The following is a 22093-nucleotide window of genomic DNA, read 5'->3' as shown; positions in this document are numbered from 1 at the left end:
CCAGCCTGGCCAACATGGTGAAATCCCTTCTCTACTAAAAATACAAAAATTAGCTGGGTATGGTGGCCCACGCCTGTAGTCACAGCTACTCAGGAGGCTGAGGCAGGAGAATCGCTTGAACCTGGGAAGTGGAAGTTGCAGTGAGCGGAGATGGTGTCACTGCACTCCAGCCTGGGTGACAACGCACAGCTCCGCTTCTAAATAAATAAATCAGTTTTGTTGTAGAGACAAGGCCTCACTACATAGCCCAGTCTCCTATTCCTGGCCTCAAGTAATCATCCGGCCTCGGCCCCCAAATTGCTGGGATTACAGGTGTGAGCCACTGAGTCCAGGCTGTTATTACTGTTTATTTCCTTCCTCCTCCCTGGAGCCCCATACTAGGACAAGGCTGCATTAGGCACTCTCACTGCATGTCTACATTCCCTTCTTAGCCCTTCCCATGCCCTATACTTTTATATCCCCCCATGGGATTACTGGGGGCTGTCACTTCCTCTCTAGGCTGACTGTGGGCGATGCAAGTGGCGCCTGGCCTGTTTGCTGGCCACAGCATCCCTAGATCCAGTGCCTGGCACTTCAGAATTGCTGAACATGTTTTTTTCTTTATGCTGAGAAATGCATCTCTGTTTTTTTTTTTTAACTTTTTTTTAGAGACAGAGTCTGTCTTTGTCACCCAAGCTGGAGTGCAGTGGTGCAATCACAGCTCACTGTAGCCTTGAACACCTGGGCTCAAGCAATCCTCCCCCCTCAACCTCCTGAGTAGCTGAGACTATAGCCTTGTGTCACCATGCCCAGCTGACTTCTTGTATTTTTTGTAGAGACAGGGTCTTGCTGTGTTATCCAGGCTGGTCTCAAAATTCTAGACTCAAGTGATCTGCCGCGTGGGCCTCCCAAAGTGTTGGAATTACAGGCATGAGCCACTGCTGCCGGCTGAGAAATGTACGTCAGTATTATGGAGCAAGAGGACGGAGTCACAGTAGTTCTGGGAACAAATACTAAGATTTTAAAATAAACCAGTTTTGAAATAGACATCACAGAGGAGACAGGGAAGTGGCTCAACTCCTCCTCCCTATTGCAGGCACCTGATGTAAGAGCTCAGTGAAGGATGAACCTGCGTGTGTTGCAAGCTGCTGCCTTGGCCTCCTCCAACCGCTGCAGGGTTTCTGGACTAAAGGGAGCTCTGTCGATCTTTCTGGGAATGTTCTGGGTGCATGGGGTTGGGTCAGCCTGTTTCGGTTCCCCACAGATGAAGAGAACTTGCCAGAGCCTAGGCGACCCTCTGTGATCCTGCCCTGCCCATCTTGCAGTTACTGCGTGTTTTTCTCCTGCCCCTTCATGCTCCAGCCTCAATGGCCTGTTCCCAACATGCCATGCTCACAGCCTTTGCACTTGCTGTTCCTTCTGCCTAGAAGGCTTTTCCCTCAACTCTTCACAAGTCTGACTCCTTATCATTTAGGTCCCAGCTCAACTGAGACCCTAGAGAGGCCTTTCCTGAAGTCCCCACCCTCAACTCTCCATCACTGCAGAAAGTTCTATTGGGTACCACTGCTCTTGACCACAGACATGCATTACACTTTCCTACTTCTGTCCTTTGCTCATGTTATTTGCTTTGCCTGGAATGCTTTACCTCACCTTAACAGAAATCCAACCCCTGTAGAATTTGGCAATATGCTAAAATAAAAGTCTTAAAATTAGTTCAGCAATGTAACTTGTCAGAATGTATCCTTAAGGAAATAACTTGTTGATATATGCAAAGATTTAGCTACAAGGATGTTCAGTGCAACACTGTTTATAATAGCAAAAATAGAGGCTGTGTGCAGTGGCTCATGCCTGTAACCTCAGCACTTTGGGAGGCTGAGGGAGGTGGATTGCTTGAGCACAGGAGTTCAAAAGCAGCCTGGGCAACACAGGGAGACTGGTCTCTGAAAAAAAAAAGAAAAAGGAAATTGAGGCTGGATGCAGTGGCACATGCCTGTGATCCCAGAACTTTGGGGGACCAAGGTGGAAGGGTCAGTTGAGGCCAGGAGTTTGAGACCAGCCTGGGCAACATAGTGAGACCCTCATCTCTTAAAAAAAGAAAAAAAAAATTTAGCCCAGTGTGGTGGTGCATGCCTGCAGTCCCAGCCACTCAGGCTGGGGTGGAAGGATCGCTTGGGCTCAGGAAGTCAAGGCTGCAGTGAGCAGTGATTGTGCCATGGTACTTCAGTCTGGGTGACAGAACAAGAACCAGTCAAAAATAAATAAATAAAGTTCCCTGGAGTTATAAAGACCAGATCAAACAATCTAGAAAAGGGCTTGACAGAGTGAACACTCAACAAACACCAGCTGCTTTTATGCATAGGAGAGTAGAGAGGATATTTGCCAAAACGTTGAGCAGCTGCTTCTAGGTAGAGAGAGTAAAATGATTTCGTTTTCTTCTTTTGGTTTATCTCCCTTTCCCAAGTTTTATCTTATGAACATGTATTTCTTTTGAAATAAGGGAGAGGGACAATAAGAAATATTTTTAAAAAATCCTTCAAGGTTCAACTCAAGTGATGGTCCTCCATGAAGCCTTTTGTCTGTGATTCTCAGGTCCTCCCCCCAGCCCCGCATCCAACCCAGCCTTGTAGGTGTCTGGTCATACCGTCCACTAGAGAGCAAAGCGTCTCTGGAGTCTGCAGCAGCAGGTCTGACGAACGAACAAGGGAAGGAGAGAGCCTGCACCGCCACCACTCCCTCAGGGGAGCTTGCCTAAAGTTTGCTACTGAGCATCCGGACAGAAGCCACTGGCCAGCACTGACGTTCCACGAGGAGCCCAGAGGATGCGACGATCATCTGCCCATTATTTTTACTCTCGGACCCCCCACCTCCGGAGTCTGGGGGTCCCTCTGTGTCAGTGGGAACCGGGAGGAGCTCGAGCCTGAGTGCTAGCTGCGTTTGCGAGATTTCAGGGGGTTTGAGCTAAGCCAGAGGTGGTCCACGTCGGCCCTCCTCCCTCCCCAACCCCCCGCCGCTTGTTATTTTTCTTTGGGCGGTTGGTTGGGCAATTATGCTCTGCGACCGTAAGATCTGAGTGCCAAGGCGCCCGCCCCTCCGTGCTAACCTAGTAAGAGTGTGGGCTTTTTCTTTTTTTTCTTTTCTTTTCTTTTTTTTTTTTTTGAGACGGAGTCTCGCTCTGTCGCCCAGGCTGGAGTGCAATGGCGCCATCTCGGCTCACTGCAACCTCCGCCTCCGGGGTTCAAGCGATCCTCCTGCCTCAGCCTCCTAACTGGGATTACAGGCGCGCGCCACCATGCCCGGCTATTTTTTGTATTTTTAGTAAAGATGGGGTTTCACCGTGTTGGCCAGGCTGGTCTCGATCTCCTGACCTGGTGATCCGCCCGCCTCGGCCTCCCAAAGTGCCGACAATACAGGTTTAAGCCACCGCGCCCGGCCGAGTGTGGGCTTTCAAGTCCAACGTTGAGGTTCAAATTCTGCCTCCCCACCTGCCAACTCCAAAAGTTAAACTTTCTGTGCCTCTGTGTTCTTATCTGTAGAATGGGGATAATGATGAAAACAGCATCTAGGAGGAAAGGCTGAAATCTACTCGAGGTACGACGGTAACGGTTCCTATTTCTAGCCCGAGACACTAGACGCTAGCCAGGGACGCTGTCGACGGGCGCTGCAGAGAAGCGGGAGGGCCCCATTTATTCCCCCAAAACCGCAGCCCGGAAAGCGCACCCGCCCCGGCGCGTCCCGCCCGCGTCCCAGCCCGACCCCTGGTTTCCTGCCCTGTCCGGGCCTGGGCCCCGCTTAGGCCGCCCCCGAGCGGGCGTCTCCCTCCGGCTCCAGGGAGCGGAAAGGGTTGGGCCGGTGGGAGGAGCCCAAGGCCGGTGACGACGGACGCCACGGGTCGAAGGGGCCGAAGAACTCGGCGGCGAAGGTGACCACGTCCTCCGGCTGGCGCAGCAGCAGGAAGAGCAGGAAGTCGGAGATGAGCGCGTGGGCTTCGGGGTGCTGCCGCAGATAGCTGGCGTGGCCGAGCCGGAGCTCCTCCTGGCAGGGGACAGAGCCCGAGCCTCAGCCGGACGGGACCCCCGCGCCCCAGGAGCCCCCAGCCGCTCGCTCCAAGGAGAGCTAAGGGGCGCTGGAGCCTTCTAGCCCCTACGGGTGTGCATTTCAATCAGGTGCAGAGATCAGTAATGAATTTAAGGCCCATGGGGGAATGGGAACCCCAGGCTGGTGGAGCCTCCCCTCACCTTCCGGTCCAGGAACTTCGAATAGAGCTCCATATCCTCCTCCCATACCAGGGGCTTCTTCTCAAACACTGGGCGTGGCTCAATCTCATCTAGGTGGGGAACAAGGAAGGCTGGGCGTCCCTACCCCGGAACCTTCCTTGGATACACAGCGAGATCCCGAGAACACCCAAACAGAAGGCTCAGGTGAAACCCCAGGATTCTGCCCACATGGGCAGAGTTGCAGGAAGGGACTTCCAGTAGGAAAGATCCTCCTCTTATTGCTTGGGGTCAGGGGCTGGAGGGCAGATGTTCTCCAGCTGATTCCAGGCTCCTGTCCCGTTTACAGCACACTGGGTCCAGCCCCCTGCATCCTGGAAGGCCCAGGTTTCCCCACTCCCCTTAACTCTCCCTGCCTGCACAAGGCCTGGGCTTCACTCACCCTCTTCCCTCAAGATGGGCATCTTGGTGATGATGCAGCACCCTGGGGAGCCCACCTGTATTCTCTTGGCCAGGTGCCTGGAGTGCAACACAACATGTGAGAGTGAGAATCTTCCCAGACCGCCTGCTATGGACTGAATTGTCTCTCTAACCCCCAGTGTGGTGGTATTTGGAGGTAGGGGCTTTGGGGAGGTCATTACGTTTACATGCAGTCATAAGGGTGGGGCCCGAATCAGATAGGATTAGTGCCCTTATGAGAAAAGGGTGATGCCAGAGAGCTTTCTCTTCACTCATGCACGGAAGAAAGGCCATGTGAGGACACATTGAGAAGGCACTTGTCTGCAAGCTAGGAAGACAGCCCTCACCAGAAACCAACCCTGATGGCACCATGATCTTGGACTTCCTGCCTTCCAGCAAATATATTTCTCTTGAAGCCACCCAGCCTGTGGTGTTTTGTTATGGCAGCCTAAGCAGACTCCTACATGACAGTGCCCCTTGAGAGACCTGTCCCGGGCCTCTTTACTTCTGCCTCCCTCTCTTGTTTATTAAGTTCCTGGGTGGTGTTCATTTCTGGATCTCCAAATAACGCACAGGGCTTGGCAAGTATTAGGCCCCCTGTTTAAAAAAAACAAAAAGGATCTTTAGAGGTACAGCACTCGAAAATCATGGAGCCTCTTGGCCAGGCACGGTGGCTCACGCCTGTAATCCTAGCACTTTGGGAGGCTGAGATGGGTGGATCACTTGAGGTCAGGAGTTTGAGACCAGCCTGGCCAACATAGTGAAACGCCGTCTCTACTAAAAATACAAAAAACTAGCCAGACGTGGTGGTGGGCGCCTGTAATCCCAGCTATTTTGGTGGCTGTGGCATGAGAATCACTTGAACCTGGGAGGTGGAGGTTGTAGTGAGCCAAGATTGCATCCCTGTACTCCAGTCTGGGTAACAGAGCGAGACTGTCTCAAAAAGAGAAAGAGGCCTGTCGCAGTGGCTCACACTTGTAGTGGCTCACGCCTGTTATCCCAGCACTTTAGGAGGCCAAGATGGGCAGATCACTTCAGGTCAGGTGTTTGAGACCAGCCTGGCCAACATGGTGAAAGCCTGTTTCTACTAAAAATACAAAAATTAGCCAGGCGTGGTGGCAGGCACCTGTAGTCCCGGCTACTTGGGAGGCTGAAGCAAGGGAATCACTTGAACCTGGGAGGCGGAGGTTGCAGTTAGCCAAGATTATGCCACACATTCCAGTCTAGGTGACAGAGCGAGACTCTGTCAAGAAAGAGACAGAGAGAGAGAAAGAGAGAAAGAGGAAGGAAGGAAGGAGAAAGAAAGAAAAGAAAAATTATGGAATCTCCTGCTATGCGGCATTCAAAATAAAAAGGTTGGCCTGGAGCTGTGGTGCATACCTGTAGTCCCAGCTACTAGGAAGGCTGAAGCAGGTGGATTGCTTGAGCCCAGGAGTTGGAGGCTGCAGTGGGCTATGATCGCACCAAAACCGAAAACATACTAAGTTATGAGATAAAGCCAACAATGTTTTGATTACCTTTTCCCCAGTGTAGTGATTATGTGAATATCTATTCTGAAATTTTAAGAAATAAACTCGACTGGAGTCTGTCTCAAAAAAACAAAACAAAACAAAAAAACAGAAAGAAACTCTTTCTTCCACCTGAATTTTCTTTTTCTTTCTTTTTTTTTTTTGAGACGGAGTCTTGCTGTCACCCAGGCTGGAGTGCAGTGGCGCGATCTCGGCTCACTGCAAGCTCTGCCTCCTGGGTTCACGCCATCCTCCTGCCTCAGCCTCCAGAGTAGCTGGGACTACAGGCGCCCACGACCACACTTGGCTAATTTTTTGTATTTTTAGTAGAGATGGGGTTTCACCGTGTCAGCCAGGATGGTCTCAATTTCCTGACCTCATGATCCGCCCGCCTCAGCCTCCCAAAGTGCTGGGATTACAGGTGTGAGCCACCACGCCCAGCCCTGAATTTTCTTATGATTTGGAGCCAGTGCTTTGCTGGAGACTGCACGGCAGCCTGCCACAGGCAATTCTTCCAGCACAGTGATTTCATCAAGTGTGCAGTCATTCAGACCTTGGTGTTTTTCAGTATTATCCCTTACACAGTGGTGGCTGCACTAGCTACACCCCAGGCCTGTGGTGTGCAGTGAGAAGGTTTGGGAGGCACTGTGAGGGTTAAGAGGACGAGCAAATAAATGAAGAAAGAGTGAATGATATGGATAAAGCGGAGGGACACTCCTATCTCAATGCCAGTTCTTCCTGGTGCTATCCCCAGAAGCAGCCGGTCTCCTTGAGCACCTACAAGCTCAGCACCACCCCTCTGGGCCCACCATCAGCAGCTCACCCATCGGAGAGCAGGTAGTACTGGCAGGACATGGGGATGCCCTCCTCCGCGTGGACAGTCTGCTCCACGATGAAGACTTCAGCCTGCTGATGGTCTACCTGGATGGTCTGGAAGCCCAGGTTTTGCTGGCAACAGCCAAAATTGGGGGGTGGGAGGTAAGGTGGATGCCCGCCAAGGGCTCCCCATCATCTTACCTTAGCCTTTTCTCCATCTCATAACAACCTCAAGACATTTAATATTGCATCTCCAAACCTCCAAGCTGAGTTGGCGACCCCTCATAGGGAGCTAGCTCCAGGTTGCCCTTGCCCTGACCCCTCCCATGTCATCTCGCTGACCAGGTGCTTCTAGTTGGCAAATTCTGTTACAGGGATGAGAAGCGGTATGCGGGGGGGTGTGGGAGCGGAGAGGTAGGATGAGCTACTAGGGCCAGTGGGTGGAGGTAAAGTGAGGCTCAGAGGTGTGAGACCAGACAGATTTGTGGCCACCTCAGACCTGTGCTGTTGCTGGCAGGCTGTCCCTGTTGTGATTAAAACTTAAACCCCTGTTGTAGCTGCAGCTATGGAGAAAAAAGTGCTAATGTTAAACACATGTTTCAAAGAACACGGAGGGGAATGGATTGTGCTTGTTCATGTCAAATGCATTGCTGCTTGGTGTGTTTTGATAGACAAGCCTGGAATGTAATTTACAAAGATGGTCAAAGAAACACAAATCAGCCCCCAAAGTGTCTCACTGGAAATTGTGTGTTCAGTGGCATGGCTTTAAAATCACTGATTGCAGGAAGTCCTAGGCATGCTGATTATGAAATTTTAGTTAAAAACAAAAAACAAAACAAAAACGGAACACCCTTTGGGGTTAAGAAATAATAAAGGAATATTTCAGTAAAGTTGGACATGTTACACTTCCTAAAGTTAAAAAATGATTTATTTTTATTTATTTATTTTTTTGAGACAGAGTCTCCCTCTGTTGCCCAGGCTGGAGTGCAGTTGTGCGATCTCAGCTCACTGCAACCTCCGCCTCCTGGGTTCAAGTGATGCTTCTCCTGCCTCAGCCTCCCGAGTAGCTGGGATTACAGGCACTTGCCACCACACGCAGCTAATAATTTTTGTATTTGTAGTAGAGACAGGGTTTCACCATGTTGGCCAGGCTGATCTTGACCTCCTAACTTCAAGTGATCTGCCCACCTTGGCCTCCCAAAGTGCTGGGATTACAGGCATGAATCACTGCGCCTGGCCAAAATGACGTTTTTTTTTTTTTGTTTTTTTTTTTTGAGACAGAGTCTCGCTCTGTCACCCAGGCGGGAGTGCAGTGGCGCGATCTCGGCTCACTGCAAGCTCTGCCTCCCGGGTTCACGCCATTCTCCTGCCTCAGCGTCCTGAGTAGCTGGGACTACAGGCGCCTGCCACCACGCCCCGCTGATTTTTTTTTTTTGTATTTTTAGTAGAGGCGGGGTTTCACCATGTTAGCCAGGATGGTCTAGATCTCCTGACCTTGTGATCGGCCCGCCTTGGCCTCCCAAAGTGCTGGGATTACAGGCGTGAGCCACCACACCTGGCCCAAAATGATGTATTTTTTAAATCAGCCCTGCACTATATTTATTTTTCCTGGACTGACTTCTGTGCGGAAGGGTTGCTTCTCTGAACTGTTCCCACTTCTCAGTCACTCTCAATTCATCTGCCCCACACTCCCAGACAAACATGCTTTCCTGCCCTTGAAAGCCCCATTCCCACCTGTGCTGTTTTCTCCCCACCTGCCTCCCTTTTCTACTCCACAGCTGTTCCCCATCTCAGTGCTTTTCACGCCTTTTCTAGTTCGCTCCCAAGCCAAGTCCCCTGCCCAAGGGGACCCCTTACATAGGTCAAATAGCAGAGTTTGCCCTCGGTGTCCAAGGTCAGGAAGCGGGCATTGCTGGGCACCATCCGCCGCCAGGCCATCACCCTGAGCAGCACCAGGTTGGCAGCCTCTGAGATGAAGCCCTTGATTGAGCTCCAGGGGAAAGAAGTCACTCCAGTCTTCACTTCCTGTTCAGAACTGATCTGGGTCAGGGTCCTGGAACCAGGAAGGGGCAGGGGACAGGAGGGTGGGCAAGCCAGGTGTTGGGCATACGGTTTTGTTTTTTTTTGAGACAGAGTTTCGCTTTTTGTCACCCAGGCTGGAGTGCAATGGCGTGGTCTCAGCTCACTGCAACCTCCGCCTCCTTGGTTCAAGCGATCTCCTGCCTCAGCCTTTCAAGTAGCAGGGATTACAGGCTACCATGCCTGGCTAAATTTTGTAATTTTAGTAGAGACCGGATTTCACCATGTTGGCCAGGCTAGTCTTGAACTCCTGACCTGAGGTGATAGGCCCCCTCTGCCTCCCAAAGTGTTGGGATTACAGGCGTGAGCCTTTTTTTTTTTTTTTTTTGAGACAGGGTCTTGCTCTGTTGCCCAGACTGGAGTGCAGTGGTGCGATCTCAGCTCACTGCAACCTCCAGCTCCCAGGTTCAAGCGACTTTCCTGCCTCAGCCTCCTGAGTAGCTGGGATTACAGGCTCACGACACTACGCCCAGCTAATTTTTGTATTTTTATTAGAGGGGATTTCACCATATTGGCCAGGCTGGTCTCCACTCCTGACCTCAAGTGATCCGCCCGCCTTGGCCTCCCAAAGTGCTGAAATTACAGGCGTGAGTCACCACACGCCTGGCCTTCAGCCGGTCATATGGTTTTTAATGAATGAATCCTTGTCTTTTTTTTTTTTCCTTTTTCTGGAGAACGGGGTCTCGCTATATTGCCCAGGCAAGTCTCGAACTCCTAGGCTCAAGCTATCCTCCTGCCTCTTGCTTCTGAGAGCTGGGATTACAGGCGTGAGCCACCGCGCCCAGCCTAATGAATGAATCGTTAGTCTGGACTCCTGGCTTCATCTAATCTGGTCCCCGCTCAGAGTTCTGAAGAGGACATTGTGAAAGAAAAATAAATCTTGGGACCCCAAATCACTAAGCCAAAGGGAAGTCAAGCTGGGAACTGCCTCAGGCAAAGCTGCCTCCCATTTTATTCCTAAACAAGGTAGCTACTAAGAGAAAAAAAAGCTATATAACTCCCTCACTATTTGCCCACAAGGAAATTCCTTGTGGACAAAGGACAGACAGAACTCAAAGTCATCCCTCTGCTCACGTGAGATAAATGCATATCTGATGGCTTTCTCTGCTCTATTGTTTCACTAAGCCAGAGTAAGGCATAAGTGACTACTTTTCTAACCCCCATAGCATGTAAATTGTGTATTCAGTGAAAGGCTAATCGGAAACTTAAAAGCATGTCTCTTATCTACCTATGACTTGGAAGCCCCCTCCCTGCCTCGAGTTGTCCTGCCTTTTCCAATGAACCAATGTACATCTTTTTTTTTTTTTGAGACGGAGTCTTGCTCTGTCGCCCAGGCTGGAGTGCAGTGGCGTGATCTCAGCTTAGTGCAAGCTCCACTTCCCGGGTTCACGCCGTTCTCCTGCCTCACCCTCCCGAGTAGCTGGGACTACAGGCGCCTGCCACCACGCCTGGCTAATTTTTTGTATTTTTACGTCTGGTGAACCAGTGTACATCTTACACGTGTTGATTGATGTTTCGTGTCTCCTTAAAATGTATAAAACCAAGCTGTAGGCTGGGCGTGGTGGCTCACGCCTGTAATCCCAGCACTTTGGGAGGCTGAGGCGGGCGGATCACCTGAGGTCGGGAGTTTGAGACCAGCCTGGCCAACAGGGATGAAACTCCCTCTCTACTAAAAATACAGAATTAGCCGGGCGTGGTGGTGCATGCCCATAATCCCAGCTACTCGGGAGGCTGAGGCAGGAGAATCACTTGAACCCGGGAGGTGGCGGTTGCAGTGAGCCGAGATCACGTCATTGCACTCCAGCCTCTGCAACAAATGTGAAACTCTGTCTCAAAAAAAAAAAAAAAAAACAAGCTGTGCCCCAACCACTTTGGGCCCATTTCCTCAGGACCTCCTGAGGCTGTGTCATGTGCGCGTCCTTAACCTTGGCAAAATAAACTCTCTAAATTGATCTGGACCTGTCTCAGATATTCTGGGTTCACAGTGTGTAGTGCAACTCCCATCTGGCTCTCATCCTTACCTCACCCTCCTTGATACTTCTGGTCACAGCCAGCTGATCATCCTGCTTCAGCAAACTCATCTTCCGTTCCATGGGGAGGATGAGGAACTGAGGGCCAGAGCATGCGGGGGAGGATCAGGGACTCCCTGGGTCCCCCAGAGGTCACCTGACCCTTCTCCATTAATGAGAAAACTGAGGTTTAAAGATTGTGACTTAAAAAAAAAGCAGCCGGGCCGGGCACAGTGGCTCACGCCTGTAATCCTAGCACTGTGGGAGGCCGAGGTGGGCGGATCACGAGGTCAGGAGATTGAGACCACCCTGGCTAACACGGTGAAACCCCGTCTCTACTAAAAATACAAAAATTAGCTGGGTGTGGTGGCACATGCCTGTAGTCTCAGCTACTTGGGAGGCTGAGGCAGAAGAATTGCTTGAACCCGGAGGCGGAGGTTGCAGTGAGCCGAGATCGCACCACTACACTCCAGCCTGGGCAACAGGCTGTTTTTGAGACTCCATCTCAAAAACAAACAAACAAACAAACAAAAAACCAAGCAGCAGGGCCAGGTGTTGTGGCTCATGCCTGTAATCCCAGCACTTTGGGAGGCCCAGGCGGGCAGATCACTTGAGGTCAGGAGTTCAAGACCAGCCTGGCCAACATGGCAAAACCCCATCTCTATTAAAGATACAAAAATTAACCAGGTGTGGTGGTGCATGTCTGTAATTCCCAGCTACTTGGGAGGCTGAGACAGGAGAATTGCTTGAACCCGGAAGGTGAAGGTTGCAGTGAGCTAGATTGCACCACTGCATTCCAGCCTGGGTGATAAGAGCAAGACTCTGTCTCAAAAATAATAATAATAATAAAATAAAAAAAAAAAAGCAGCAGCAACAAAAACCAAAAAACACCTTTCATACACAGTGAAGCTGAAGAATAGCAGTCGTGTTATGATGCAATATAAAGTTCAAAAACAGTGCACTTCAGAACACTGGTTTTAAAAGATGGGGGTGGGCCAGGTGCAGGGACAGCAGGTTGCCACTGATAAGTTCTCCTGATACCCAAACTCTGAACCCAGCCCACACCAGCCCTCCTCCAGCCTGAGAGCCCAGTGCCTCCCTGGAGGCCTGGTGGGCTGGCCTTTCCCAGAGCCTAGCCTTCCCTGGGGGCCTGTTTCACCTGGCCTCCAAGTCTCCCAGCTCTGTGCCCCTCACACCCAGCCCCAGCCACTTAATTAACTTGTGGAATGTGAACATGACCTGTTTACACACTGGAAACTACTCAAGTCTAAAAACCTTCCCACAGAAACCAGAAACCATCCCCAACATTTTTTTTTTTTTTTTTTTTTTTGAGACAGAGTCTCGCTCTGTTGCCCAGGCTGGAGTGCAGTGGTGTGATCCTGGCTTACTGCGACCTTCGCCTCCTGGGTTCAAGCAATTCTCCTGTCTCAGCCTCCCGTGTAGCTGGGATTACAGGTGCCCACCACCATGCCTGGATAATTTTCTTTTTGTATTTTTAGTAGAGGTAGGGTTTCACCATCTTGGCCAGGCTGGTCTTGAACTCCTGACCTCATGATCCACCTGCCTCGGCATCCCAAAGTGTTGGGATTACAGGTGTGAGCCACTGCGCCCGGCTAATTTTGTGTTTTTAGTAGAGACAGGGTTTCTCCATGTTGGTCAGGCTGGTCTTCAACTCCCGACCTCAGGTGATCCGCCTGCCTCAGCCTCCCAAATTGCTGGGATTACAGGCGTGAGCCACCGTGCCCAACCTACATCTTTTTTCTTCTTTTTTCTTTTTTTTTTTTTTTTGAGACAGGGTCTCATTCTGTCACCCAGGCTGGAGTACAGTGGCACGCACATTGCTCACTGCAGTCTTGACCTCCTGGGCTCCGCTGAACCTTCCACCTCAGCCTCCCAAGTAGCTGGGACTACAGACACACATTACCACACCCAGCTACTTTTTGTATTTTTTGTACAAAATTTATAAACATTTTTGGTGGGTTTTGCCATGTTGCCCAGGCTCAAACTCCTGGGCTCAAGGGATCCTCCCACTTTGGCCTCCCAAAGTGCTGGGATTATAGGCTTGAGCCATTGTGCCTGGCCCACCCTCATTGTTTTTTAATTTTTTTCTTGAGACGGAGTCTTGCTCTGTCACCCAGGCTGGAGTGCAGTGGCGCGATCTCGGCTCACGGCAATCTCTGCCTCCTGGGTTCAAGCGATTCTCCTGCCTCAGCCTTCTGAGTAGCTGGGACTACAGGCGTGCACCACCATGCCTGGCTAATTTTTGTACAGATGAGGTTTCGCTATGTTGGCCAGGCTGGTCTCGAACTCCTGACCTCAGGGTGATCCGCCCACCTCTGCCTCCCAAAGTGCTGGGATTACAGGTGTGAACCACTGTGCCCAGCCCACCCCCGTGTTTTAAAATCAGTTTTCTGAAGTGCGTTGCTTTTGAGCTTTACATTGCATCATAACACGATTGCTATTCTTCAGCTTCACTGTGTATGTAATAGGTTTTTTGGTTTGTTGTTGCTGCTGTTTTTTAAGTCAAAATCTGTCTTCTCTCCCCTGGATTGGGTCAAGGCTGGGGCCCTGGGAAGTACCTTGATGAAGTCTTGGCTGTGCTGTTCCATGAGCTCCAGCTTCTCTGAGAGATAGCCTGGGGTGCAGGGACACAGGCATTGACGTCACAGGAGATGTGGGTCAGAGGCTGAAGGAAGGGAAGGTGGTGGCGCAGCTGGAGGACTAGGTGTAATACGGTCCCAGAAAAACTACAGGATGGGTAAGATGTGCCCTCATCCCGAGTCCATGAGGAACTCGCTCATCCCTCTCCCACCCCGTGCCTTGTCCTGGTCCAAGGCAAAGCCAAGGGCTTGGTCCTGAAAAAAGATTCTAGGAATTGGTGGAGGGGAGGGTTGGAGGAAGGGGAGAGTGACGGGCATCAGGCAGTAGGAACGCTACCCAGGAGGGAATTTCCGCAGAGCATTTTGTCCAAGAAGCCTCGGCTAGAGGCATGCACGAAGAGGCAGTATGTCAGCATGCCGAGTTTTTCCTGGTATTTCCCTCTCTGCACCTCAATGGTCAGCTCTCCCTGAGGCTCCCCGGTGTCTGAGACCATGGCCAGCGTCTCAGAGAAGAACAGCATCTGTAGCTCCTCCTTGTCTGGGGTGAGGGGCCCGTGGGAACAGATAAAGCCCCTGCTCCTGGGCCCCAATCCAATCCTCTGACCCCATGACCACCAGTGTCCCCACAGTCCCCACCTGCCTCCTCATCCCACAGCCTTCCTCACTGGCACGGACAGGTGAAGACTCCTGCCCCATGTCCCCATGTCCCCGGGGGGCCTTCCCTTGAAGAATGTCAACAAACAGGCCTCAGGCCTTTTCTGAGTCCCAGGAGAATCAAGGAAGAGAGAGAGAGAGAGAGAGAGAGAGAGAGACTGGACTTTCTTCCCTCCTCTCCAGACTTGCACCCCTCCCGCACCCCCAACCCCGACACTGTCTGAGCTCACGGAGGGAGCTGAGGAAGTCGATGGCTTCAGCATTGGCCTCTGGGAGTGGCAGACACTCCGGACCCGAGGGCTGGTGGTCCTTAGCTCTGGAGCCTACAGAGGGATGAGAGGCTAAGATGGCAGACCCTGGGGAGAAGGGCAGGGGTCAGGGAGGCAAGGCAGGGTACCTCAGTCCTGGCCCCAGCACCCAAGAACAGAATCCTCTAAGACTACCCCGAGGGTGGATTGGGAAGAAAGAAGAGGATCCCCGCCTCCAGCCCCAGCAGTCCTCTTCCCACCTGTGGAGTAAACCTTGGAGGACATGCTGTGGGCCTGCCTCTACCCGGTCTGTGTCCAGCTGTCTCCATGGCAACCAGAGCTGGACAGTGCCTCTTAAAGGGCCATCAACCCACTTTACTACACCCAGACCTTGGAGGGAACTGACACTGCAGGTTTGGGGCTCAGCACAAGCTTGAGGTGTTGTCCAGCAGAGGGAGCATTTGATATATATTTTTTTCTTTTTTGAGACGCAATCTCGCTCTGTCACCCAGGCTGGAGTGCAGTGGCGCATTCTCATCTCACTGCAACCTCTGCCTCCCGGGTTCAAGCAATTCTTCTTGAGGTCTCAGCCTCCCGAGTAGCTGGGACTACAGGCGCACACCACCGCGCCCAGCTAATTTTTGTATTTTTAGTAGAGATGGGGTTTCACCATATTGGCCAGGCTGGTCTTGAATTCCTGAGCTCGTGATCCTCCTGCCTCAGCCTCCCAGAGTGCTGGGATTACAGGTGTGAGCCACCGCGCCTGGCCCACATTTGATATTCTTAAGAGGCAGAGTGAAGAAATGGGTCATTAGAATGACCTTAGAAGAGGCCAGGTGTGGTGGCTCACACCTGTAATCCCAGCACTTTGGGAGTCCCAGGCAGGTGGATCACTTGAGGCCAGGAGTTTGAGATCCAGCCTGGCCAACATGGTGAAACCCATCTCTACTAAAAATACAAAAATTACCAGGGAGTGGTGGCACATGCCTGTAATCTGTCTCAAAAAAAAAAAAATGACCTTAGAAGATATGAACGAAAGTCAGACAGAGTCTCAAATGCACACTATCCAATTAGCTGCTACATGAATATCTCTGCAAGTTACAGTTCTAATACATGTAACAATAATGATAACAACAATGACAACATAGCAAACTCTTTGACTGGACTTATTCCTGGTGAGGCGCTTTTTTTTTTTTTTTTAGAGAGTCTCACTCTGTTGCCAGTCTGGAGTGCAGTGGCGCCATCTTGGCTCACTGCAACCTCTGCCTCCTGGGTTCAAGTGATTCTCCTACCTCAGCCTCCTGAGTAGCTGGAACTACAGGAGTGTGCCACCATGCCCAGCTAATTTTTGTATTTTTATTTTTATTATTTTTATTTATTTATTTGTTTGTTTTAATTATTTTTGAGAAAGAGTCTCACTCTGTCACCCAGGCTAGAATGCAGTGGCATGATCTCAGCTGCAACCTCCTCCTGCCAGGTTCAAGTGATTCTCCTGCCTCAGTCTCCCAAGTAGCTGGGACTACAGGCACCCGCCACCACACCTGGCTAATTTTTGTATTTTTAGTAGAGATGGGGTTTCACCATGTTGGCCAGGCTGGTCTTGAACTCCTGAGCTCAAGTGATCCACCTGTAGAGTCCAGCCCTACGGGGCTTAGCGGGTGTTCTCCCTGTGTGTGGAGACGAGAGATTGTAATAAATAAAGACACAAGACAAAGAGACAAAGAGAAAACAGCTGGGCCCGGGAGACCACTACCATCAAGACATGGAGACTGGTAGTGGCCCAGAACGGCTGGGCGCGCTGATATTTATTGCACACAAGACAAGGGGGCACGGTAAGGAGGGCGAGTCTTCTAAGTGATTGACAAGGTGAAGCAAGTCACATGATCACAGGACAGGGGGCCCTTCCCTCTTAGGTAGCCGAAGCAGAGAGAGAGACGGCAGCATACATCAGCGTTTTCTTCTATGCACTTATAAGAAGGATCAAAGACTTTAGGACTTTCACTATTTCTTCTACCGCCATCTACTACAAACTTCAAAGAGGAACCAGGAGTACGGCAGGAACATGAAAGTGGACAAGGAGCGTGACCTTTGGAGCACAGCACCACAGGGAGGGGTTTAGGCCTCCGGATGGCTGCGGGCAGGCCTGGATAATATCCAACCTTCCACAAGAAGCTGGTGGAGCGGAGTGTTCCCTGACTCCTCCAAGGAAAGGTGACTCCCTTTCGCGGTCTGCTAAGTAATGGGCGTCTTCCCAAACACTGGCACTACCGCTTGACCAAGGAGCCCTCAAGTGGTCCTTATGGGGGCGTGACAGAGGGCTCACCTCTTGCCTTCTAGGTCACTTCTCACAATGTCACTTCAGCACCTGACCCTATACCCGCCGGTTATTCCTAGGTTATATTAGTAATGCAACAAAGAGTAATATTAAAAGCTAATGATTAATAATGTTTATAATAATGATTGATAATTATCCATGATCATCTCTATATCTACTTTGTATTATGACTATTCTTATTCTAACTATTTTCTTTATTATACTGAAACCGTCTGTGCCTTCAGTCTCTTGCCTCGGCACCTGGGTAATCCTCTGCCCACACTTCCTTGGTCTTAGACCTGCGGGCCTCCGCCTGGTCAGCCAGGAGCTTCTTGTAGGCCTTGTCTGCTTTCAGCTTGTGGATGTGTTCCAGGATAATCCGCTTGTTTTTGAACACATTCCCCTTCACCTTCAGGTACAGGCTGTGATACATGTGGCGATCAATCTTCTTAGATTCACGGTATCTTCTGAGTAGCCAGCACAGAATCCTCATTCTCCTTATCCACGTGACCTCTGGCATTCGGACGTTGGCTGTACCCTTCCGCTTACCTATGCCCGTGTGCCTGCCCTTCCGGGAGGCCAAGGTGTTTTTCTGGCATGGAGCCTGGGAATGGACCATCACAGGCTTGCCGATGATCAGCCCATCTTTGATTAGCTTTCGGATCTGCTGATGGGAGCTGGCATTGGCGATTTCATTGGTCTCACTGGGGTCCAACCAGACCTTCTTGCCACAGCAGAGGACACTAGAAGCGAACCTCTTCTAAAGCCTGAGCATATTTATGGCTGCGGCTGCAGCAGCGAAAGGAAAGAACTCTGTTATTTCAGGTTCTTAAAATGTTTAAAATTGGTATATTAGAGTGCTTAAAAGATACGTCTGCAGATTCAAGTTTAAATTGGGTTATTGAATAATTGATTTTGAATTTTAAAGTTTCTTATTGAGATTGCAAGTAGAACCAGAACATTAAAAAAAATAAAATTAAGATTTACTGTATTTATATGTTTACTTTTATTAGGTTGCAGTAAAGGTATTTGGGAGGCTGGTTTATCAATCAATCGCTTTAAAAAAGGAAATAAAATATATTGGATGAACAACTGCAGTATAAGCTGCCTAAAGCAGTTTTAATTTTGAAAAGAAGACCAACCAATTATTAATTAAAGCCCCCTTGGCTGGGTGCAGGGGCTTACACCTGTAATCCCATGGGAGGCCAAGGTGGGTGGATGATTTGAAGCCAGGAGTTGAAGACCAGCCTGGGCAACATAGTGAGACCCTGTTTCTAAAAAATGTTAACATTCACTAGATTTATGATGAGAATTATATGACTGGTAAGTTGAACTTAAAAGTTTTAAAAATACTTTTGTTTGTTTGTTTGAGACAGTCTCGCTCTGTCCCCCAGGCTGGAGTGCAGTGGCTCAATCTCGGCTCACTGCAAGCTCTGCCTCCCGGGTTCACGCCATTCTCCTGCCTCTCAGCCTCCTGAGTAACTGGGACTACAGGCGCCTGCCACCACACCTGGCTAATTTTTTTGTATTTTTAGTAGAGACAGGGTTTCACCACGTTAGCCAGGATGGTCTTGATCTCCTGACCTCGTGATCCGCCCGCCTCAGCCTCCCAAAGTGCTGGGATTACAGGCGTGAGCCACCGTGCCCAGCCAATACTTATGTTTTAAAATTTATATTTTCCTATTCAACATAGTATTGGAAGTTCTGGCCAGAGCAGTCAGGCAAGAGAAAGAAAAAAAGGGCATTCAAATAAGAAGAGAGGAAGTCAAACTATCCCTGTTTGAAGATGACATGATCCTATATCTAGAAAACCCCATCATCTCAGCCCAAAAGCTTCTTAAGCTCATTAGCAACTTCAGCAAAGTCTCAGGATACAAAATCAACGTGCAAAAATCGCTAGCATTCCTATATACCAACAACAGGCAAGCAGAGAGCCAATTCATGAACGAACTCCCATTCACTATTGCCACAAAAAGAATAAACTACCTAGGAATACAGCTAACAAGGAAAGTGAAAGATCTCTACAAGGATAACTACAAACCACTGTGCAGAGGACTCAGAGATGACACAAACAAATGGAAAACCATTCCACGCTCATGGATAGGAAGAATCAATATCATAAAATGGCCATACTAGTCAAAGCAATTTATAGATTCAGTGCTGTCCCCATTAAACTACAATTGTCATTCTTCACAAAACTAGAAAAAACTATTTTAAAATTAATATCAGATGAAAAAAGAGCCCAAATAGCTAAAGCAATCCTAAGCAAAAAGAATAAAGCTGCATCCATCACGCTACCTGACTTCAAACTACACTACAGGGCCACAGTAACCAAACAGCATGGTACTGGTAAAAGAACAGACACATAACTTTGTAACAGGTCTGGAAGCTCTGAGTTTATCTTGGGACCTCAAGAGAGGATCACCCAACTCACAGGTGTTAGAGGATACAAACCCATGGCTGGGCTTGGCTTTAAAAGTCTTATCTGAAATTCCTTGTGAAACAGAGTTTCATTAAAGCCAATGCAAAAGGCCTATGTAAGTAAAAATAACCATTCTTGCTGCACTTTACGCAAATAATCAGGCCAAGTATAAGATTGTAGGATATAATAAATTCCTCTTCAAAGGTTTTAGCCTATAAATTGTTAAGCACAATGAGTTCTGAGATCCTCTTCAAAGAACCAATGTATCAGTATATTCAGCTCTCCTGTTCTTTGTTCTTCATTTTAAAGTTTCTCGTTCTTTACATCTCCTTGCCCCTAGTTACAGTAAACAACCCCCTCCTAGCCTCTATCACCTGCTCTGAACTTAGTCACCCTTGGTCACCTGCTCTGTTGTTAGTCATCCTGAGTCACCTGTTCTGTAACCATCCTTCCTGCCAAACTACCTATCCCACCACTCTGGCTCATACCCCTGCTCTCTTTAAAATAGCCAATCAGAATTAGCTTAGACTGTGTGGTCCAACCCTAGCCAATAGGGGAAAGACACAGCAGTAGGGACTAGCTGAGTTAGGATAAGAACCCCTTCCCCTCCCTTGTTCAGGTGTGCTCTCGCCATTGCTCCATCCGTGAGACACACCCTTGTATGGAAGTAAAATTGCCTTGCTGAGAAAATTAAATTTATGTTTGAGTGCTATTTCTTTTCTTTTTTCTTTTTTTTTTTTTTTTTGAGATGGAGTTTCACTCTGTGGCCCAGGCTGGAGTGCAGTGGTGCGATCTCGGCTCACTGCAAGCTCTGCCTCCCAGGTTCACACCATTCTCCTGCCTCAGCCTCCTGAGTAGATGGGACTATGGGCGCCCACCACCACGCCTGGCTAATTTTTTGTGTTTTTAGTAGAGACGGGGTTTCACCGTGTTAGCCAGGATGGCCTTGATCTCCTGACCTTGTGATCTGCCCACATCGGCCTCCCAGATTGCTGGGATTACAGGTGTGAGCCACCGCACCTGGTCTTGAGTGCTATTTCTTTTGCAGCCCTGATAATTTATTTCTAAAAGGACTAAAGTTTATTCATAATTAGTGCTTACCAAAAATGAGGACTGAAGAGAAAAATTTTGATCCAAAGCTTATCATACATTTGTCATTAAATCCTAGTTTCATTAATTGTTTTTAAACTTTTTGCTTACATTTTAGACTAACCCTGCTTATTCCTGTGAATCAAGAGGTGATCTTCTGCAGCTTGGAAAAAAAAAAGCGATGGGTAAGGTAAAAAGGTGAATCAATACTCTAGTTCTGGGCAATTATCTTGCAAATTTTGCCAGGTAAAGAAAGTGAGTAAGGTGCTCATAACCGGGAGGTTTCTTTGTTTGGGAAAATAAAACCAAGGAACTTCAGAGACCCTAAAAGGGGAATTCTATATCTTGGCAAGTAAAAAATTTTTTTTGAGACAGAATTTCACTCTTGTTGCCCAGGCTGGAGTGTAATGGCACAATCTTGGCTCACTGCAATCTCCGCCTCCCAGGTTCAAGCAATTCTCCTGCCTCAGCCTTCTGAGTAGCTGGGATTACAGGCATGCACCACCATGCCCCGCTAATTTTTTGTATTTTTTTGTAGAGACGGGGTTTCTCCATGTTGGTCAGGCTGGTCTTGAACTCCCGACCTTAGGTGACCTGCCCACCTTGGCCTCCGAAAGTGCTGGGATTGCAGGCTTAAGCCACCGCGTCCGGCCGGCAAGTAAAATATTAGGTGGAAATTATCTACCACACTACACTTGTGGAAATTGCTGTCCTCACTCTACTATTTGCAATAGTGTTATACACAGTAGCACCTTCTAACTAAAATATTGGACAGTTTCCATTGCTGTCCTATTTTGCTTAATTATTATCCTTATAACCGGGATAATAGTTATTGACAAAAAGGAAGCATAAAAGTTTTACTATCACTAAGTCAGCTAGGACTTTTTAATTGGGTTTAGTGATGCACTTTTTTTGGTGGGGGATGGAGTTTTGCTGTCTTGCCCAGGCTGGAGTGCAGTGGTGCAATCTTGACTCACTGCAAGCTCTGCCTTCCGGGTTCACACCATTCTCCTGCCTCAGCCTCCTGAGTAGCTGGGACCACAGGTGCCCGCCAGCACGCCTGGCCAATTTTTTGTATTTGTTTAGTAGAGACAGGGTTTCACTGTGTTACCCAGGATGGTCTCGATCTCCTGACCTCATGATACGCCCGCCTCGGCCTCCCAAAATGCTGGGATTACAGGCATGAGCCACCGCACCTGGCCCTAGTGATGCACTTTTAAATGAAACATGCTGCTTTTGGATTAACACCTAGTAAAGTAAAGGAAAATCTACAGGTACCTAAAGATAAAATCAAAATTATTAACAGGCTCAGGGAAAATGCCAGCTTCAGCCCTCAGTGGCTACAATCCCTCTTTAATAAATTACAGTCTTCTTTATGGAATGGTTAATCCGTTTATTAAGCCCTCTCTTGCTTATATGTCTTGTATTGATATTTGGACGAAGTCTACTCAGTACTATAACTCAAATTGTTTCTTCTCGCCTAGAAGCAATCAAACCCCAAATGGTGCTGCAAACTGAACCACACACGGACACGCCATTCTTCCAAGAACCCCTAAATCAACCCCAGCAGGAGCCCTGGCTGCTGTTCCCCATTCAACATCCCTTTTCAGTAGGAAATAGCCAGAAAGAGTCGTTGCCCAAAACCCCTTAACAGCAGTTAGCGTGATATCGCCGCAGGGAGGAATGTGGTAGGAGTTATTAAGAA

The 22093-nt window shown here is 49.2% G+C and overlaps 1 protein-coding gene, 2 long non-coding RNA genes and 1 pseudogene across 9 annotated transcripts in view, besides 2 other annotated features; 2 read left to right on the top strand and 2 right to left on the bottom strand.

Annotated features, from left to right (window-relative positions):
- Positions 3540-3849: a silencer, noted in NCBI's record as "silent region_12315". NCBI's record gives its function as "represses an Ori minimal core promoter by ATAC-STARR-seq in GM12878 lymphoblastoid cells {active_cell/tissue: GM12878}" and the evidence as "EXISTENCE:reporter gene assay evidence [ECO:0000049][PMID:35858748]".
- On the bottom strand, positions 3639-14876 carry CATIP (ciliogenesis associated TTC17 interacting protein). Of its 7 annotated transcripts, none has more exons than NM_001320865.2 (10): positions 14824-14876; positions 14546-14671; positions 13999-14199; positions 13641-13696; positions 11074-11160; positions 8831-8998; positions 6981-7105; positions 4633-4709; positions 4215-4303; positions 3639-4011 (listed from the first exon to the last, which is right to left on the bottom strand). In NM_001320865.2, exons 1-10 carry the CDS (start codon positions 14846-14848, stop codon positions 3769-3771), a joined length of 1197 nt encoding a protein of 398 aa, NP_001307794.1. In that variant the 5' UTR covers positions 14849-14876; the 3' UTR covers positions 3639-3768. The 7 variants fall into 7 exon arrangements, with proteins under 7 accessions (NP_001307794.1, NP_940961.1, XP_011509450.1 ...); NM_198559.2 differs by having other exon boundaries at positions 14546-14638; XM_011511148.3 differs by lacking the exon at positions 8831-8998.
- CATIP-AS1 (CATIP antisense RNA 1) lies at positions 3831-5068 on the top strand. The gene is made up of 3 exons (NR_110573.1): positions 3831-4142; positions 4706-4806; positions 4935-5068. It is a non-coding gene; the product is annotated as a CATIP antisense RNA 1 (long non-coding RNA).
- Positions 13767-22093, top strand: part of CATIP-AS2 (CATIP antisense RNA 2) — a 31726-nt gene continuing 23399 nt past the window's right edge. The window contains exons 1-2 of the long non-coding RNA NR_125777.1: positions 13767-13819; positions 20507-20573. This is a non-coding gene — a long non-coding RNA (CATIP antisense RNA 2). The remainder of the gene's footprint in view (positions 13820-20506; positions 20574-22093) is intronic.
- Positions 14470-14981: an enhancer, noted in NCBI's record as "H3K27ac-H3K4me1 hESC enhancer chr2:219221475-219221986 (GRCh37/hg19 assembly coordinates)". NCBI's record gives its function as "activates a minimal SCP1, AML or CMV promoter by ChIP-STARR-seq in naive H9 embryonic stem cells {active_cell/tissue: H9 hESC(naive)}" and the evidence as "EXISTENCE:reporter gene assay evidence [ECO:0000049][PMID:30033119]".
- On the bottom strand, positions 17160-17691 carry RPL19P5 (ribosomal protein L19 pseudogene 5; annotated as a pseudogene).

The sequence above is a fragment of the Homo sapiens genome, chromosome 2, assembly GCF_000001405.40.
Source record: "Homo sapiens chromosome 2, GRCh38.p14 Primary Assembly".
NCBI classification, from domain to species: domain Eukaryota; kingdom Metazoa; phylum Chordata; class Mammalia; order Primates; family Hominidae; genus Homo; species Homo sapiens.
Note: the sequence above shows the minus strand (reverse complement) of the source record. Positions and strands in the feature narration are given on the sequence as shown.

Excerpts from the sequence above, each read along its gene's own strand:
- CATIP (NM_001320865.2), bottom strand. The coding sequence starts at position 14,848 with ATGTCCTCCAAGGTTTACTCCACAG. Across the intron at positions 14,672-14,823 it reads CTCCAAGGTTTACTCCACAG|GGTCTGCCATCTTAGCCTCT; the intron begins GTGGGAAGAGGA and ends CCTTCTCCCCAG. Across the intron at positions 11,161-13,640 it reads ACAGCCAAGACTTCATCAAG|TTCCTCATCCTCCCCATGGA; the intron begins GTACTTCCCAGG and ends TCTGGCCCTCAG.